General features: G+C 31.2%; 1 protein-coding gene across 5 annotated transcripts in view; it reads left to right on the top strand.

Moving 5' to 3' along the window:
- Nucleotides 1–20308, top strand: part of LRRIQ1 (leucine rich repeats and IQ motif containing 1) — a 236455-nt gene extending 216147 nt beyond the window's left edge. For 3 of the 5 annotated variants that reach the window (XM_011538817.3, XM_024449221.2, XM_047429655.1), the window contains one exon: nt 10418–11960. In XM_011538817.3, coding sequence (XP_011537119.1) covers nt 10418–10563 — 146 coding nt within the window. In that variant the 3' untranslated portion in view covers nt 10564–11960. Of the gene's footprint in view, nt 1–10417; nt 11961–20250 lie in introns of those variants that run through there. The other 2 variants (XM_011538819.4, XM_024449222.2) reach the window with 1 other exon arrangement.

Consider the following 20308-nt stretch of genomic DNA (forward strand, 5'->3'; position numbering starts at 1 on the left):
AGTATGAAATGTTTTTATGAGAAAAACAAAGGAGTAAGATGCTAGCCAGCCATCTTCTTTAAGAGAAATTTAAGTTTTTCAATTTATGGAATTCTGTGAAAGGTGACCTTGGTTGTAAATCTGATTAATTCTGATGAAGAATATTAAAAGAGTCAGGCCTGAAATCTCTCTTGAAAAAAAAATAACAACAGTATATGTTTTGAAGAGAACTCTAGTATATTAATGGACCAAAATTGGGAGGAGACAGAAAGTTTCCTTTTTTGAAGATAAAGTTAATAATACTTTAAATTTACCCTTAAAAATTGTACCTTTGAAGTTATATATGGCCATTTGATTCAACAAACTCCTATTGAGCACTATCATATATTGAGCACTATTATATATTGTTGATATAATTTCAAATTTAATTTAATATCTAAGTTCTAAACATTAAAACCACAGGGCAGTCTCTGTACCTTATGATTACACTTAATATAAGTAAATGATACAGTTTTTTTAAAGTAGAGCTTAAGTTTATTTTCAAAAATAAAAAAAAGTAATGGGATTTCAAAAAGAAAACAATGTCTTACGTGAAATAGGCTTTTTTTCTCTCTCTGAAAGCATTAATAATGAACATCATCCAATTAAAACTGTGTAATGAATTGCAGCATTAATGTTTAAAGTTGGAGAACCTGCGTCTGGGGTCTTGAGTTTTCTCTTTCCATTCCTACAGCAAGGAGTGCTTGGGTGAGAAGGGTGTATTCTCCAAAGAAACCCCACTAAACATAAATACATGGTTCACTGTGGCCCATATGCCTTAGGAATTTATCTTTAGTAAATTACAGTTTGAGTAACTGCTGTTACTATTATCTAAGACTATTCCAAAATAGACTACTCACACAAGATTCATGCAATATTCTCAAATCTAGAAGTCCCTTATATATTTCAGGGAAGTATAGCTCTGGTACTGGACCAGCACCTGTTATTTAGAACCATCTAAGGAACCTTTCAACACAAAGAATGTGGAGATTTTCATACTTTATTGTCTCTTGCCAGCCAGAACCACAACATTCTCATTATAGTGTCTTCTCATTAAAGGAAGAGAAAATCATAATAATGTGACATTTTCATGTTACCAAGTTTCTTACTTGGATTATAAATTTACAGTTTTACATAAAATAGTAGGCCAAAGATGTAGACAGATAGTTCAATAGATTAGACACACAAACACAAATGGACACACACACACAGAACTTTACTTCCTAATCCTTGCTGTTACCATGTATGACTACAAGTATAAATTATTTTGTTTTAATTTATGAATATACTAATCACTGATGCTTCATCAGTGAATTTACCTGCCCATTTTGTCATCTTGTTCTCCAAGCTTTCTGCCTTCTATTTCTAATATATATCTGCTGATGTAGTTTGGATGTGTGTCCCTGCTCACATCTCATTGAAATCTAATCCCCAGTGTGGGAAGTGGGGACTGAAAGGGAGATGATTGGATCACAGGGGAGGATTACTCATGGTTTAGCGGCATCTCCCATGGTACCGTCCTTGCAATAGTGAGTCAGTTCTTCTGAGATCTGGTCATTTGAAACTGTGTAGCACCTACCCCCTTGCTCTCTCTTGCTCCTTCTCTGGCCATGTCACGTGTCTGCTCCCCCTTTACCTTTGCCATGATTGTGAGCTTCTGGGGAGGCCTCAAGAAGCTCAGCAGATGCCATCATGCTTCCTGTACAGCCTGCAGAACCACGAGCCAATTAAACCTCTTTTCTTCATAAATTATGCAGTCTCAGGTATTGCTTTACAGCAATGTGAGAACAGACTAATACATCTGCTTTGAAAAAAGTTTTTCCAAAGCTCCATGATGTTTAACTAGCATTTTGAACATTTTGGGAGCTCTGCTACTTCCTACTGGTCCCTTAGATTTCATAACTGAAATTTACAAATAAATTATTTCTACACTGGATGTTAGAAACATTTCACATTTACCTTAATTTTCTACTGCATATAGTGTTGAAAAAGTGAGCAAAAGTTATGTATTATAATGTCCTTGCTTGCATGCTTTTTAATATAGACTGCAACTATATATAAAAAAGAAGAAATTTAGTTTTGTTTCATCTCTCCACTAATTAACTAGCATATTAATTTTACTTGTACATGGCCTTTACAAAATTCAAATAGTTATATATTTCTGATGTATTTTCCTCAGACACCATCTTAGAGAAAATGTCATTTAGAAGTCTCTAGTATTCTCAGTCTATTTTTGCAAGGTTCAAAGTAGTCACTACTCATTAATGTTTTATTAAAATATGTGTTCATGTAATATAATCAAAATCATTCAAATATGAATATTCTTTGAATAACTCCAGAACTTCTGGTAATGTCAAATTTACAAAGAACTTGAGGAGTGAACAGAAATTTAGCAAGATAAGTAAAGGACATGAAAGTGTGAATAAACCTTTTGATAAAATTTTTAAATTAGAAAAATCATGTTGGAGTTATATGTACATATATAATTTTCTATATATAGAAATCTTTCTCTTCTAACTTATGAATTGAAAGTAGTATTGTTTTTCACTGATGCCTTTTATTCATTTTTAGTTTCATAGACCTTATTTCCAGGTAATATATATTGCTGAAGAGCAAATGGATAATGAGGAAATATGGGCAATAAGCACATAATACTCTACTATAACTCCAGTAGATTTGATGATAAAAATGTAATTATTAAATGCAAAATAAGAAAATTTAAAATATGTGAATTACAGTAATACTGTTAATTAACTGGCAAATTTGTAAGTGATGCCATTCTACTTATAAACTCTTCTAATAAAATAATTGCCTGATATCCACTATCTATGTCAATTGTTGCACAGTTTCACAGGAGAAGTCAACATTGACTTTCATATTTCCTATTAAAATATTAAAACTTCAATCCCACTCTAGATTTATCTTTTTCCTCATATAAAAACAATAAAATGGTAATATCTTATAAATAACTGTGGCCAATTTAAACTTTTTTGTTCCATACATAATGAAATCTGGGTCTTTTAAAATCCTCTTTTGCTTTTTATCTCAACTATTCAACTTGAAGTAATATATCAGTAACGAACTTATAGCCACATCTCATGAAATTATTTTTATTATTGTTATCACTTTATGGCCAGCAAGAGTTATTCTCTAGCAATGTAAAAATTCATATTTTAAGAGTCTTTTAAATTATTGTTTAAACCATTAAATCTGATTCTTGGACTGAAATTTTTGGCCAGGAACTTTAAGACACAAATTTTTTAGGTGTTGATATTTTGTTCCTGAACCCGGACAATTAATTACAGAAAAACATTAACACTTAAACCCTTAAAATAGTCTACTGACTAGACCTAGAAGATGAAAATTAATTGCTGTTACACCAAGAGCATATTTACATGGTTAGTGGACTCATGTAATATGGATTAATTTTAAAATCTACTTTTTAGAAGAGTAAACACATAATAGTTATTGATTTACTGTCTTTTAACAACTTGTTACTATCCTAAGTAACAACATTCTAAGACAGTTAAATGAGTCAACAATTATTCCAGGCACAGTTAAATATCACAGTTATTAGTAACTACAGAATAATGTTTACGGAGCTAAGACAGTAGCTAGTTTCAACAGCAGTTGACATTATCGAGAAAAAGACAAATTTCATCTGTATTTTGTAAGAGAACTAGTTGTACATATGTTAGCTACATTTATTCTTTATTAAAAATTTAACATTTTTTGACGACAGGATTCATGCATGCTCTATTGATAATACAGTAAAGCATGATGTTTCTAACTGTAATATTTTAGTTCTTATCCATTTATATGATCATTTTCTTTCTTAAATTGTTTGACTTGTATTTTTGTTATTTTTTTCTTTCAAACCAATTTTTCACACTAGCTAATGTGCAAAAATAAATGGATATGGTTAAATATGAAATGCATTTGTCGAATGAATGAAACTGGAGTGAAATAACATAATAAATCCTCAGGCTAGTTATGTTTATTGTTGCCAAATGTCTCCCTGCTAAGAACTAATAAGTATGAAAATGAATAATGAAAGTTTCCATGAAAAATTTTTGGGAGATCTATTCACAAGTCTTCACTATCTGGGAATGTGGAAATAAGTATTTGTTTTATACAAGTTCCATATGAAGATGGTAAAGATGAAATTAAGAAAATAGAGTCAAATAGAAAGCAACTACAGTATGACAGTTTCTAACATTATGTGGCTCACAGAAGAAAATTAACGGGAAAGTTCCATTGAAAGAAATACGTGTTGAATGAATATGTAAATAGAAGAAAGATTTTAAATTAAATTTTTCAAAGACTAAAAGTGATCTTGAAAATCTAATTTGAGTTTTAAATGTTTATATTCTAAAATAAATAGCTCAATAATAAGCATTTTGGAATTTACTTAAAATTCCTATTTTGCTAAAAATATACTTTGGCAAAATTAATTTGGGAAATATTGGGTGAGAGAAGATAATTAGAGGCTGAAATGTAATATATATACATATAATATATATTATATAATTATATATATAATTATATAATTATATAAATATATATAATTATATTATATAATTATATAAATATATATAATTACATAATATATAATATATATTATATATTTATATGATTATATATAATTATATAATAATTATGTATTAATTATATATTATATAAATATATATATATAAAGACTGGTTTCAAAGGAACATGCATATCCATCCAGATCCATAAAAAAAGATGCTCTCAACTATAAGCGTCACTTATGCCATTGTTCTTTAATTACAAATATTTGTAGACGCTTTGTTGTAAATATAATGAAACTGAATAGAGCCCTGAAGAGGACATTAAAAAATAAAAAATGATTGTGGAGTTTGGGAATAGACCTTTCCCAAACTAACAAAATAAACAGGACTTATATGACCTGATTTTCAGAATTCCTTTTAGAACTGTGTGCAGTAGAAAATGTGGGACCTAGATAGCTTATGGATTGTTAAATTGCATTCTTAACTGCTTATTGGATTACACTTTTGATTATCCAGTCAATTTAAAAGTTTAAACACCCAATAGGTATTAACTATTTCAGTGGGAAACCAGAAAACCACAATAACCAGCATTACATGGGGTAGTTATCAATGGAAAGATGGGTTTTAGTTAATTTACAGGCCACATGAGGAAAAGTCAATCTAGTTCTGAAACAAATCACAAAACCCTTTTAGATTTTATAACTAGAAACCACTCACTCAAAGAATTTGAAAAACCCTCCAAGAAAAAAGTGTGAAAACAATGTAAGAATGACAGAATTTAGTGAAGACTTTTTTTTTAGCACCACATTTGTAGCGCCACATTCCAGCCATCATTTTGCAAACACAGCCACATGGCATCTTTAAGAAAAAATCAACACACTGGTATGTTAAAAATAAAACCTGGGAAAACAGTGCATATTATAAGGCAGCCTCAGAGATTCAAATGTAAAATATGCATGGTAGATATTATAAAAGGTAAATAAACAGGCAAAATACATGAGTTAAAAAAACTATGCATTTATCAAAATGAGATTCCCAACCCAATGTGATATGTATTAGCTTTTACAGTCATTCTGAATTGTTTTTTCAAAATAAATATACACAGACAAAAAAATGTGTTACTCACATGTTTTTTTTTAAAACATTTTGATTATTAACACCAGTAATAATGCTAGTAACAAATACTGTGGATATTTTTGTGACTATCAAGAGTACCAAACATAAGTGATTTTCGTATTTATATGCCACTTAAATTTATATGAGTAAGAAGAATAAATGTGTCATGGTTCAATTGGGATTTGGAGAAACAAAAGTTTTATTAATTTTTTATAATGTACAAAAATACTTTTATTCACTGAAAAGGTAAAAAGCAATCTCAAAAACAAGAAAAATCACAATATTACGTTGAGGAAATCCAAATATGGTATAAACAACCTGTTCAATATTTATTTTTTATTTTCAGTGTTAGACTTTATCTACTTAAAGTTCACTATAAATGATTATTATAATTCAAGCTTGGACACAGCAGTGACCTTACAAAGCAACTGTTATTTGAATATTGTAATATCTACCTCAACCCCAAATTTGCGCAACGTAACTCATTCACAGCACTTAAATTGATGTAAACGCTTTGCTGCTAAAAATTGGTTCTGGTCACTTTCATTAAAATGTTTAATTTTTTTTCTCCATGCTTTATTTATGCTGTATCTGCTGTTAAGTAATAAAATATGGAAAGGATTTTGAAATAATTTCTATATCCAGACACATAATGTTGGGTATATCAATGAAAATTCAATGACATATTACTATACATCATGAAATTCCTATTTTGACCTGTTAAACGGTTTTTTATACATACCAGGAGAGTCATTCAAATCATTTTACATATTAAATTACTTATCAAAACACAACATATATATAGACCTTGACATTTTTTAAAGAACCAAGGATTTAACAATAAAATATTTAAAGGACCAGAACAAATCTTGAGCAGAACACAGATTATGTAGCAAAGAAGTGACTTCTTGAAAAATAGAGCATAATCATCAAGACATAGTTTCAGCACTTGTATAAGCAATTGATGAGTTGATTTATATGCTCACCTGCAAATAAGCAGCAGATTGTTGTTAAACATAAAATCTATAACAATAATGTTGCAGAAAAGGGAAAACAATTGTCAAAGATTTGTTAGTCGTACATATTTTTGTTCTAGGAGTCCATCAGTAGGTTTAGCTCCAATATCAATATTTTGAGGCCAGAGTCTCTTGCTATTTTATTTTCATATGGGTAATTTTAGTATGATTATACATTGACCATATTAAATTGCTTCTTTTTATGTTTTTTCATTTCTGGAGTAATCATAGGACAAAGTAATGACTTTGCAATGAATGCCAATATGTGATTCTCTCAGAGATGTGTTATTTTGCTCCTCAATTTATTCTCTATATATGTAGTGATTTGGGAATTTATATGATAACAAAAAACTCTCACTAAATGCAATGAGAGAATAAGCTATATAGATTACTGCTCAAATTGTTACTTTACACATAGCAGAACAATACAACTCAAGCTTTTAATCACACCTAAAATATTGTTTTGACAAAACATTATATATTCACTTAAGTGTTTGTTAAAGACTCATTTTCTATAGCATTTTCATTCCACTTCAAAACTGCTATAAAGCTGTCTTGTAATATTACACAATGTGCTTTTTAAATTGTAATTATTATTTGCTTAAGGAATTATACCAAGCAATGGAAAGTTTACAAACTGTTTTTAAAATATAGGTTTACGTTGTGAGTAAGTACAAAAAGATTTAAAGATTCATCAGCAGCTTCAAATACAACATAATAATATTGGGGGGAAATGTACCATATGGTAAATTTCTGTCAATAGAAAAGTCCCTTAAAATGTAGAAACACTGTTAAGAATAAAAGTTTGATCTAAAGAAAAGCTGGGCTTTAATGCAATTCAGTCTATTTCATTTTGAAATATTTTAGAAGCATATGAAATTATCTATATGTGTTTCAATACTTTATACAAAAAGTACTACCCTCCTTACATGTTACTTTTCATGTTGGTTAAAAAAAAAAAAAAAAAAAAAGCTTATATTAAGAATAAAACCCTTTGCATGCCTTTAGTCCCGGCTTCTGGGAAGGCTGAGTTGAGATGAGAGGATCACTTGAGCCCAGCATGTGGAGGCTTTGGTGAGCTGAGATTCAATTCATACACTGCACTCCAGCCTGGGTGACTATGAAACACTGTATCAAAAAATAAATAAAATGAAGAAAACCCTGAAGACATCTTTATACTAAGATAGTTTTATCAAGAATATTAACTAACGAGAAATTATATTATTGAATTAAATTTTAAAATACATACTTACTTCTACTTATTACCTTGAATAATGCTTGGAAGGCACTTGACTTAGCTTACTGTAGTGGAACAAAATGTATTAGTCATTTGTGAAAATCTGCTTACTGTTTTATTAATCTCTTTTTTATCTTAAATAAATATATCAAAATTGTAAAGTTACTTCATTAGTTCATTACTCAGACACCCTTCTCCCTCTACCTCCACCGGTGGCCCCAGCATTCTCCCTATTTAATGTATTCTCATAAATAAATATTCGGTATCCAGGCAACAGTTATATTTACAAACAATTTTTACTGCTGAGGCAAGATGAGGGTTTACTATTACTTTTATTGTTTTTTAAAATGGACCAAAGTAGACATTCCATTCTGTTATCTGGGAAAAAATATCAAGCTATAGGTTTCCAATGTATAAATAGTAAGTAGAAGGAGGATAGGTTTTTAAGACACTTTCTTAATGCATTTTAGGCCAATAGTTTATCATCTAAGAAACTCTTGCTTCTATGCTTAGTAATATTTCTGTTGCTTGAAAGAGTTCTTGCCCTTTCTTGAAGGACTACTGACTGATTCATAGAGAGTAGCTCAGCGTAGAATGAATCTGGCTAACACGTGGAAGTCAACTTCAGTTGGCATCTCTCTCAGTTGTTAGTCTCTCTACTGAGATTTGCCTTCACAAGTGCCAACCATGAAGGTCTCTAAATTCCTGAGCCATGATCTGTCTCTAGCTCCGTTACAGACTAGTGTCTGTAGACATGAGCATTAGTCTTTATTGTATCCTGCATGTCCTGTACTTAATCATTAGCCTTTAACTTTATCCCTGCTTTTTAGTGCTGTTCTCTTGGTGGAATAAAAGTAAAATATATTCCCTGTATGGAGGTTCATTAACTCCTTTGAATTTGTTTTGCTAATCATAATTTTAAGATTAAAAACCAAAATTCAGTACTCTGTATTTAAAGAGCTTTTAAACATAAAATGAACATTTACAATCAATATTCACCATCATGTTGCATCAAATTTGAAATTACAGACCAATTTCCTCAAATGGCCTAATGTTTGCTGACTCTTCTATTTGAATTTATATTTTTTAAATATTTAAAATTTTAGTTGGAAAAGTATTAATCTCAAAAAACATTCTATTTTTTTTTTCTCTAACCTTACTTAAGCACGAAAGCATCACAATGGAGAATCATGTAGTTTCAACCTTTGCCTCAAGCCAGTACTGAGGAAGCCCTGGAATGCCTCACTCTGCTACTTCCAAACCCTTTCCCCACAGATACAGCCCTGTGCTCTTGCTTAATCCTAAGGGGATTTAAAGCAGAGGATCATAATTTTTATTTTTTTGTTTATTTTATTTATTTATTTATTTATTTATTTATTTATTTATTTTTGAGACGGAGTTTGGCTCTTGTTGTCCAGGCTGGAGTGCAATGGCACGATCTCGGCTCACCGCAACCCTCCGCCTCCCAGGTTCAAGCGATTACCCTGCCTCAGCCTTCCGAGTAGCTGGGATTACAGGCATGCGCCACCACGCCCGGCTAATTTTGTGTTTTTGATAGAGACAGGGTTTCGCCATGTTGGTCAGGCTGGTCTCGAACTCCTGACCTCAAGTGATCCGCCAGCCTTGGTCTCCCAGTGCTGGGATTACAGGCGTAAGCCACTGCGCCAGGCCATAATTCTTTAATAGTATTCTTGATATGGCATCCTGGGGTCTTACTGAGTAAACATTCTGAATCCACGAACTATTCTTAGGACTAGGACTATTGTTTTTAACCTCTCAAAGTTTTTATTATATATAAATAATAATTTCTTCCATTTTATGGCCCCTGTGTACAAAGCAGTCTCACTGATCTTACTACCACTTACAACATAATCAGAAAGGCAGTCTTCACAATAATCCTGATGTGCATATATTATTTCTCTCATTTATAAAACTGATACTCAGAAAGACTGTTACCTGTCCAGAGTCACAAAGCTCTATTTTAGGTAGCCAAAGTAAAATTCATGAATATCTTGATATTCTAGATCTAATGTACTTTCCACTTTACCAAAAACTCCTTTTTCTGAAAAAGACCTTCATTCAACCGGACTATTTATAAGACAAATGTTAACATGTTTTATTATAATAATATAAATAATTATAGCAATTTAAACTATGAAAATATAAACAAATATAAGTACCTTAAAACTAAGAAGATTTATCATTTTATAGTTGTGAAACACCAACGATATTTGAATCTGTTGATAGAAGGAAACCATTATATCTATTTAATATTTTTAGTACCCTCCCTCTATTTAACCTAAACACATTTTATACCAATCTTGATTATACAGTATTACTTTGTAAACAAAAATAAGCTCAACAAAGATACGTCTGTTAAACTCCAAGATCATAGACTTTTCAACTGCATGTTTTTGACTTAAATATATTTCTTACTTTAAAATATAATGTATTTGGTTCATATTCAGTGAAAGTGTATATTTAATATCACTGTCTAGGTTGTTCAGTTAAGGGAATACCAATATCGCCAATAATAACAAATACAAGACCTTCTAAAAAAGAACGTATATCATTCCGAGACAATCCTGTACAACTCAGTGGTGGATGGGGAAGTGGCAAAAAGAAGGCGAACATTTCCAACTAATCCTTAAGGCTTCAGCATTCAAAACATGTGGCAAACTGTTTCATGAAGTCTGGATATCTAGTCATGTTACCAACTGGATACAAGGTTTTAGACTCCTATATTTAATTTGGTTTATTATACGTATTTCACAAGTTTGTTTTCTAGTGGAGCTATCTTATTTCTCTTCTATAAAATGTAGTTTTGCATTTCTTCCTGTGTTCATGTGGAATGGCCTCCAGAAAATTCTTAAGATATTGTAATGGAACTTGCATATCCAGTTTTTTTAGTTTTAATTTTTATGACACATGTATTCCAGATAGCTTTTGTTACCAATAATAAATATTAATGCTATACACATAAAAGAGAATGTAACTGTCTTACTGATGCTGTTTAATGTAGCAATAATGATTAATATATTAATAAACTTTATTAGATTATCGTACTTGAGTATTTCAAAGATAAATTAATACATGGAATAACTGAAAATAAACAGTGACAAAGGCCTTTATTTTTTAATTTTAAATTATCTTAAATAGATTAGAGAGTAATGATAAAATGTATAGTCAGTTTAAATTAAAATAGAAATTTAAGTAATTACCAATTGGATAATTGGATATTTTATCTGTAACGTCAGATGTTTATTACCCTTATTTATAGAGGTAGATGCTAATTTTGGTTCATTTACATTATTATACTAATTCAAGAAATACTTTATCATTTTAATTTTTCATTAAGGTACCTTAAAATTGTCATTTAAAAGTACTTTTTCAAAGTTCAACTTACCATTTTGTAATATTAACCTATTTTCTAAAATTACAGACCCATTTTATTAAAGTCTTACTGTTGTGTGATTAATGTTCTACCCTATCTTAGTAAATTTACAAAATGCTGTGTTTACACTTAGTTCTCATTGAGCTGTTACTCTCCCGAGTCTGGAACTTTTTTCATAAAGCTAAATTCATAGTATTTCAGTTACTTTCCACAGCTGTGTTGCTCAATAATAGCATCCAGTGAACTTTAGTATTTTTTTGTTTTTCCTGTATTTTATTAAAATATTTCATCTAGAGATAACTGAAGTGATGTAGAGATACTTGTATTAATTTGTATCCCCCATCTACTTTTGGATCCCTATTGCATTGCAAACCTATAAATCTCTTTTAACTTGATTGAGATAGAAACGTTAATGAGACTTCAGCTGTCAATCAATAAAGAAGATGTAGATTCATATGTGGTGTCCTAGAATTTCCACTCCATGTATAGTTGGAACTACATCAAGATCAGCTTTAATCTATAATTTCCTTATTCTGTAACCTGTGTAATTGTTTCATAATATTAACTTTGAGGATGATGAATGGTGCTGATGCTCCTAAATTTGTAGGTAATGATTGATATATATGTCAATAAAATACTTTCCTAATTATGGTGTGAAACTGGAAGTTTTTTTATAGTGCTGTTTATTGTGTTCAGCCTTGACATTATTATCTTTAAAAAATTCTTTCAATGCTCAAACTTATCATTTTGTAGCACTACTTAATTCATGTTGATGGAAATAGAAAAGTTAAACTGAAATTTTAAAAATTGGATAAAACATGAAAGAAATCAAACCAAGAAATAGTCTTTCTCCTGTTTCCTTGAGTCAACATTTTAACTAATATTTGTTTTTAAGATTCAGGGAGGTAAAAATATGAGCCTTTCTCTTCACTTAGTTGGCACTGAATTTTGGACTAACAGTGATGGACCTAGGCAATGTTACTATTCAAACATGTGACCCACAATGACTTTTTGTCCTCTCCTGTGCTCTATATCCTATCCCCAACCCCTTACAGATTTAATTCTCACCTTTCTGTAAATACCCCATCCCACTGATGTAACACTTATCATCACTGCCTTCTAGCTAGTAAGAATGGTAAAATGAATAGCTAATCACAAAAAGCTTGGTAGAAGTGCTAGGTAGGGGGTGTTTGGAGATTTCAGAATATTTTGATGAGAATCAACTACGTTGGTTTATGGAGATAGCCCCGTCCCAAGGTCCAATCCACCAACAATATATTTGTGTATATACTGACATGTGTAATACTGTGTCTGTGTAATACTGACATGAAGTTTAGACAAATAACATTAAACATTTATGATATATTTTGATTATATTTTACTCTAGTGTGCTATAATACAAGTAGCTGTAATAGGTTTCCTAGGAAAGAGAAACATAGTGATGTCCTTAAAGTAGTATTCATTATTATTTATCATGTAGCTAATTATTCATCATCTGGATTTATGGCTTTTATGACTGCACTGAGAGCAAAATGAGTTATAATTAATATATTTTAATTTAGGGGAAGAAGACCCCTAAGGGGTCTATGGAATTGCATTTGTCAAATCTAATTTCTAACTAGTCACTAATATGAGATGTAATTCTATTCTTCTTTTCAGTATACAATGAAATCTATTATCTGCCATGATATTTTTACTTACCTAGATGGAGTTGTTCTGCTCTAATTATTGTGAAATTCAGAGAAAGGCCCTTTCCGAGCACTGAAAGAACCATAATCTAGACCTTGCTGTGCAACACATTAGCCACTAGACAATTGTGATTAGGGTGTACTTAAAATATGGCTAATCTCAGCTGAGATAAAGTGTAAGTGTAAAATTCATATCAGATTTCAGAGATTTCATATAAAAATACAGAATTGCCCAATAATGTTATATTAATTAAAATAATAATATCTTGTTTCTTTTTAATTTTTTCAATGTAAGTACTAAAAAATTCAAATTTTATATACAGTTAACATATTTCTGTTGGACGACACTAACCTTGAAACTGTTGTGTAAAATAATATAGAAAGGGTGTTTTATGCAGAAAATAATTGGTAAGATATTAGGAGACACAGAGACTACACAAAACAGGGCACACAAATCCTAGTTTATAAAACAAGAGAACTTGGATTCTGCTAAACATAGTGAATATTATGAAATAAAAAGTGGAAATAACCCTCCATTGTGGTTCTAGACCTTAAAGTGGCATAATTGAATTTAACCCTTGATTTCCTGTACTTATTTGTTTTTAATCAAAGACCATCTTACAAAGTCAGGATAAAGTCTTTTATGTTATTAAAATACTTGTTGTAAGAAATAGGATTAGCCCCTGACTTGTAATCTATTTCATATCAGGTTTTACATAGATAGAGTTATTAATTATTCAAATAGCACAATTTGCACTGTGATATGGATGGATTCTTGTAATGAGAGCCATATTATATTTGACATCCTGTTGGATCATAAATCCAGTTTTAATCTAAAAGACACAAAATATAAGAGCCAACAGCAGTCGCGTAAGTGAATATATTTGAAAGATAAAAACAAGTATAATGCATTTATAACTTCCAAGAATCATATGATTATGTTTTATGTGGCACTTCCTGACAACCACTCACACTTCCTTTTCAAATATGCAGATCATCTACATTACTGGGAACCAGAATTTTACCCAAACCAAAAGTTAAACTGAAACGCTTCATGTGACTTCTCTATAATTCACATCCCTGTCAGCACTTCAGAGCAAGGGAGCAAGTAAGTTTCGAGAGCCCTCTCTAGTGGATCTGGAATAGCCACCTGTAGGAAAGGATCATGAGGCTTCATTAGATTTCAGTACAGAACAATGCATAAGGCAGCATGGAAGAGTGTCACAACTGCCAATGTCTGCTGTAGCAGTGGGAGGTTAGAGTGAGTGAGAACTTACTTGCTAGTAGTCTTTGCTGTAAGGCAATAACAAGCCAAGGTGCTACAGGAAGATTCTTTGAAGCTTTTGAGAAAAGTGAGCCAATTCAATTAATAATGCAACAGGAAAAGTTCTCCTTACATTTCATGGTTATATTTGCCATTAGTGATGAATATAATCTGCATAGCACTCCTACATTTTAGGAAGTGTTGTTATAACCACATTTATATTGCAAGAGCAGAGGTGAGAAAGCACTTCAAGTTCATAATTTCCTTGTGGAGGCCTGAATGCAGCTGCCAGTGATAACCAGATGAGTAAATGTAAAACTATTTTTTAAAATAAATACGTCTGAAAAGTAATTTTCTCCCACAAACGCTATAATAGAAACTTTCAAACTATTTTTATGACCCCCAAAGGATAGATCTAGATCAGCATTGTCCAATGTAAGTATGATGTGAGCCATGTATGTAATTTTACATTTTTAAGTCACATTAGAAATGTAAAAATAAATTGGTAAACTTAATTTAATACTGTATTTTATTTAATCTAATATATCCAACAGATACCTTTTATTTAATGGAATTATGAGGACATTGTCTTACACGAGAAAATTTTAGCCATATTAGCCCCTAAAATTACATGTCTTAAAGAAACAAAGATGCATAAAATAAAGTAATTTTAGATTAACATCTATAAGTATGTAGCTATTTGTAAATGTTAATACATGTTACAAATAAAATAATAAATGCTAAATTAATACTTTAAACTTTCATATGGATGTGAGGTTTTCTCCCAAAGTTATTGGATTCAAGAGTTCTCTACCAAAGCTCATGTATCAGTGGAAAATTACAAGGAGACTTAGTAAGGGTGAATCTCCTTCTCATCTTTCTCCACATTATTCAAATTTGATCCAACCATGGATTTTCTGTTAACTTCAAAATAAAACCAGTGCTTAGAATAACTCAGTGTGATACATAGACAAAGTAAGAAATAAGCACAACAATTTTGTTCTGCTAAGCACATATTTTGGTGTGAGACATATGGAAGAAAGTTAAAAGAACTTTTGTTTTTTTGTAATCTGATTGTGCTGTGTTCCAATCCTTGCTCTGATGGGCATCTTGAACAAGTGACAAACTCTCTGAGCCTGTTTCCTTACCATTAAGTTCAGATTAATGTATAACTCAATAGCGTCAAGTGAGAAAGTATAATGAGAAGCCCCTGGCCTAATATCTTGATTTTCATAAACATTCAGCAAATACCAACTTGATACAGTAAACCTTTCCAGAACAATATTCCAAAATTAAACCAAAAATACTCTAAGCAGATTAAAATTGGATCAATTCGACATACCATATTTAGGAAATATTTCCATGAAATGATGGGAAATATTTCCATGAAATGATGGGAAATTTTTCAAAAAAATACTTTGAGACCTGATTCCTCTAGATTTGTCTTGAAATGGAAGTAGAACTCAATGTTTCAAATACATAAATCTTAAGCCTCTTCCATTGTAAGTGTGTAGAATCTTTGGAAATGTAAAAGGTATAAATTTCTAATAGCATGTTAACTTATTTTTTCACATGGCAAGTACAAGACGCATTTCTAGAAAATAGGTGGGAATGTCAACACCAGGACTCCTTATGCAATGCTCTATACTCAAAAATACACCCAGAAAATGTTTCCACCACCAGGATCCCAAAGTGGATGCCAGATAATTGATTAGAGTGACCCATATTCTCTGTAAAATAAATTGGTAGAATAATTTAATATATACCTTTTATTAAATAGAATTATGAGGACATTGTCCTACAGGAGAAAATTTTAGCTGTATTAGCCCCTTAAATTATATGTCCTAAAGAAAAATAAAATACATAAAATAAGGTGGTTTTAGATTATTAACATCTGTAACTATGTAGCTACATTTTCATCCCTTTCCCTTTAAAGGAAATATTGGCTAGTTGTCTTTCTAGGGAGACAAAGAGAAGGATATCCACCACTTTGTTTTGTTTCGTTGTTAATCTTATTCAGTGTTTAAACTGTGCAATTATATTTTCTATTGAGAATAAAAAACTTTTTTGTTTTCTTACCTTCATAAACTATTTTTAAAGTATTGACCTAGATCCAATAAACAACGCTATAAGGAACTTATAGTTTAGTATCCTAAAGGGGATTAAAAAAATGTTTTGGAGGTAGGAAGGATTGGTTTCTAATCATAATGGGCAGGGAGCAGGTGTTTCCAGATTCTATTTAACTGACATTGAAGGATGAATTAACGAAAGCATTTTAAGTGAAGAATACAGCCTAAATAAATACCTGGAGACAGATCACAATAATGTATCCAGGTAATGGAGAGTAGAACAAACCAAGGACTGGATTATTGGACAGAACTGAGATAGTTTGGTGAGATACCGGAAATTAGTGGAAAATGTGAGTGGGAAACAGGATTGGATCAACTACCCTGATACCTGTCCAATCTATAGGCTTCAGGGTATTTGTATAATCTCTAGGTGGAAAACTGCTACGTGATGGTTTTCAAAATAGGAAGGCAATAGTATTCTCAGATAATGTTCATTCCAATAATTATTGGTGTATTTTGAAATAAAATTAGACATGGTTAGGGGAAATGGTAATTTAATTCAAATATGAAGCGATAACAATCAAGTTACCTACACTGAAGTCTCTACTTAATGGGTATATCAATTTATAAGTATTATTAAGTGCAAGAAAACTTGATCTACAGAGGTATTGGCATTTCATTCTGTTGATAGTTGATTTTACATATGCTGATTCCTCTTAAATCTCAGTGAATCTGCTTCCAAGTATAGACATTGGTAGAACCATTTGTAAATACTTTCCTCACAAGAATATTGATATAGACAGTGATTTCCTGAACAAGCTAATCTACTCAAGGGATTGAGTTCCTTGAGGCCTTCAGGAGCACTATGATGAGTCCTCTAAGTCTAGTATTGGCTGGAAAAAGCTAGAATTTCTAAGATTATTTATCTGGAATACATTAGAATCAAAGAATTGGAATGCCTTTCTATCTTAGACAGCTCAGGCTCCTGTTACAGAATACCATAGACTTGATGGCTTAAATAACAAATATTTATTTTTCACAGTTCTGGAGGCTGGAATTCTGAGATCAGGGTGTCAGTATTCGTGGGTTCTTGATTAGGGCCTTCCTCTTGGTTAAAGAAAGCCGTCTTCTTACTATATCTTCACATATCTGGGAGAAAGATCTTGTATCTCTTCATCCCCTTTCAAGGTGATTAATCCCATCATGAGGACCCCACCTTCATGACCTAATCTAACGTTATTACCTCCTAAAGGCCCCATCTCCAAGTACCATCACATGGAGGATTAGAGTTTCACCATAATGAATTTTGGAGGATCATGTCCACTCATAGCAGCATCTTAGAGACCATATAGTTTAATCAATAAGAATTATATTTCTAATAAACTTTTAAAAATACATAGTCTTACAATTGGAATATTTTAACAGGAGAAGCTGAGATTTTAAAAGGTAACTGTACTTGTTTTAGGTTATACAGATTGTTAATGACAGAGTTAGGAGTAGGATCCCCATCTCCTGAGTCACAAAAATCATGGAAAATTTATGTTAGAGGCAATACCTATGTTTATAGCCTACCTGAATAGTACTTTGGGGTAAACACACTTACCTTAATGCAGTACACACACCCCAGGACCTAGCAACTTCACAGAAATTTATTTCTCGTATGTGATCCATTTTCTTTCTTTCCATCTTCTAACAATCATAATTATATACTTCATATTCTTAATGTAAATAGTTGAATCTGTTTCTGCTTTTTAAGTCACTTTTCATTGCACAGCACCATTTGTTAATTATTTTTTCTATGTCCATAATCCTTAGTAAATGATCTCACAATCTGAATTTTAAAATATATAACAACAACAAACACATAGTGCTTATTTTATGACCAGGCACTGTTCTAAATGCTTTAGATACATTAACTTTCTTTATATTTACTCCTACCCTTGGAGATAAATAGCCTTCATTTGATAGAAGATAACATTGAATCAGAATCTCAGCATCCCACAGCCAGCGAGTGGTAGAGCTGGACGTAACCCCAGTGAGTCTGAAAGTAGTCTCTACATTATTACATTTTTGGTGTTATAGATGAAATAGATATGCATAAATACAAATTATGATACAAGTGTGTAACCAGTTAGCCAAACTTGCTTATCTGTATAATGAAAACATAGGCTAGAATGATACAATAGTTATTTGACGGAAGACACTCGTGTTCTAAGTTTAGTCTTTAATTTCAGCTTAAGGCAAAATATAAGAAGTTATTTTCTTCCTCTTAGAGAAAATTAATCCTAATTTAAGAAATAGTAGTACTATAACATATTTGTGAACAAACTTCAGATATGTAAACTATTGTGAGCATTAAAGATGTCATTTGGAAGCTTTGATTTGAAAGAGACTTGCATGACAGGTTTAACCCTGTAACACACGTTGTTCAGTGCAACTGAATGTGAAATTTTGAGAATCAGCCACTTTAGTTATAGGGAATTTTCAATGTTAGAAAGTTAGTCTTTTACATGAAAAAAAAAATTCTAACTCAAGTCAATCCACTTAGTTCCACCACTGGGGCAAAACTGAACAAATTTAATCACTCTTTCTTATGTCTTAGCTAAAATTCACTAAGTCTTTCTTACAACCATGCTTTAATATGATGTGGTTTACAAATCCTTTTTGCCTCAGCCACAGTACACAAAATAGCTTCATATTATTATTCTTTCTCTATAAAAATAGTTTCCAGAGCTCTTCTTAATTCTCTAGATTTCTTCGTATTTCAGTGTATTTTGAAGATCTGGTCTTCCTTGATGTGTGACTGCTTCATTTCTGTTAATGTAATATAAGCTAATTTTTTAAGCTTCCTTAGCAACTAAGTCATGCTGTAGACTCAAAAATATCCTCAGAGCTTTATTGTTTGAACCCCATAAGCTTTGTTTTTCTTCTCTATATTTTTTAACTTTAATTTGCAATTTTGGGTTTGCATCCATTAATTTAATCCTATCATGCTACCTTTGCCCAAAATATCTGCATCCCAATTGTTGTGGTATTCTAAAGATTTAGATGGCCAACCTAGGAATGCATAATTTGTAAAACACAGTAAGTACAAAATATATATATTTAAGTTTTTGGTGAAAATATTGGATAAAGGTACACCTTTAATGGATGATACCTGAAGAAATTTTTTAAAGTGATTTACAGGATTCCATGGTGTTCACCTCTAGAACTAAATAGTTGCATGACGTACCATAGAGACACTTTTATATCCTATATGGTTTGCCTCAACTGTGATCCAGTAGTTAGAGATGCCCAAAGAAGCTAATATACCTTAAATGAAACAGTACATATAGATCTACTTTATTTCATAAAAGCAAAAATTAGTAAAGTTTCTTTAGTTTATTTGCCAATATTTATGTTTCTTTTTAAGTTTTAAGCTAAATATTCAAAGTTTTATTAACCTAAAAAAGAATGCAAGATTAAAGGGCATTTCTACTCAAAACAGAGTAATTGGTTATTTAGATTTTGCTTAATTCAACTCAATTCAATTATTAAGCAATTCCTAATGTGGCAAAAGAGTGGCTGTGTACCTCTCCCCAAAAATAGCATATATGAATCAAATACAGTGTAAAATAAAAAATTTCAAGAATATTAATCAGAAATGAACCCAAAACAAGTCCTTTTTAAATACTTAGTTTATAGTAATTTTAATATTGCAAAAAGTGTTTGAAACCTCACAAAGAAATGGAAATAAATGTATTCTTTAAAGCCTTTTTTTTTTCTTTTGGTAACTTAAAAATACTTGTTTAGTGGAATGGCAGGAAACATTTTAATTGCTTATTATATTTGAACTGTATTAATAAATTGTGCGTTCATGAAGTTTTGTGAACTGAGAGAGCAAGTGTGAAGGTAAGAAAGTGTTTAATTTTTTTAGGATTTTATAACGAGGGTCCATTTGGGGGCATCTGATGTTGGAAACTGAAAGATGATGT

Source organism: Homo sapiens, chromosome 12 (genome assembly GCF_000001405.40).
Source record: "Homo sapiens chromosome 12, GRCh38.p14 Primary Assembly".
NCBI classification, from domain to species: Eukaryota; Metazoa; Chordata; class Mammalia; order Primates; family Hominidae; genus Homo; species Homo sapiens.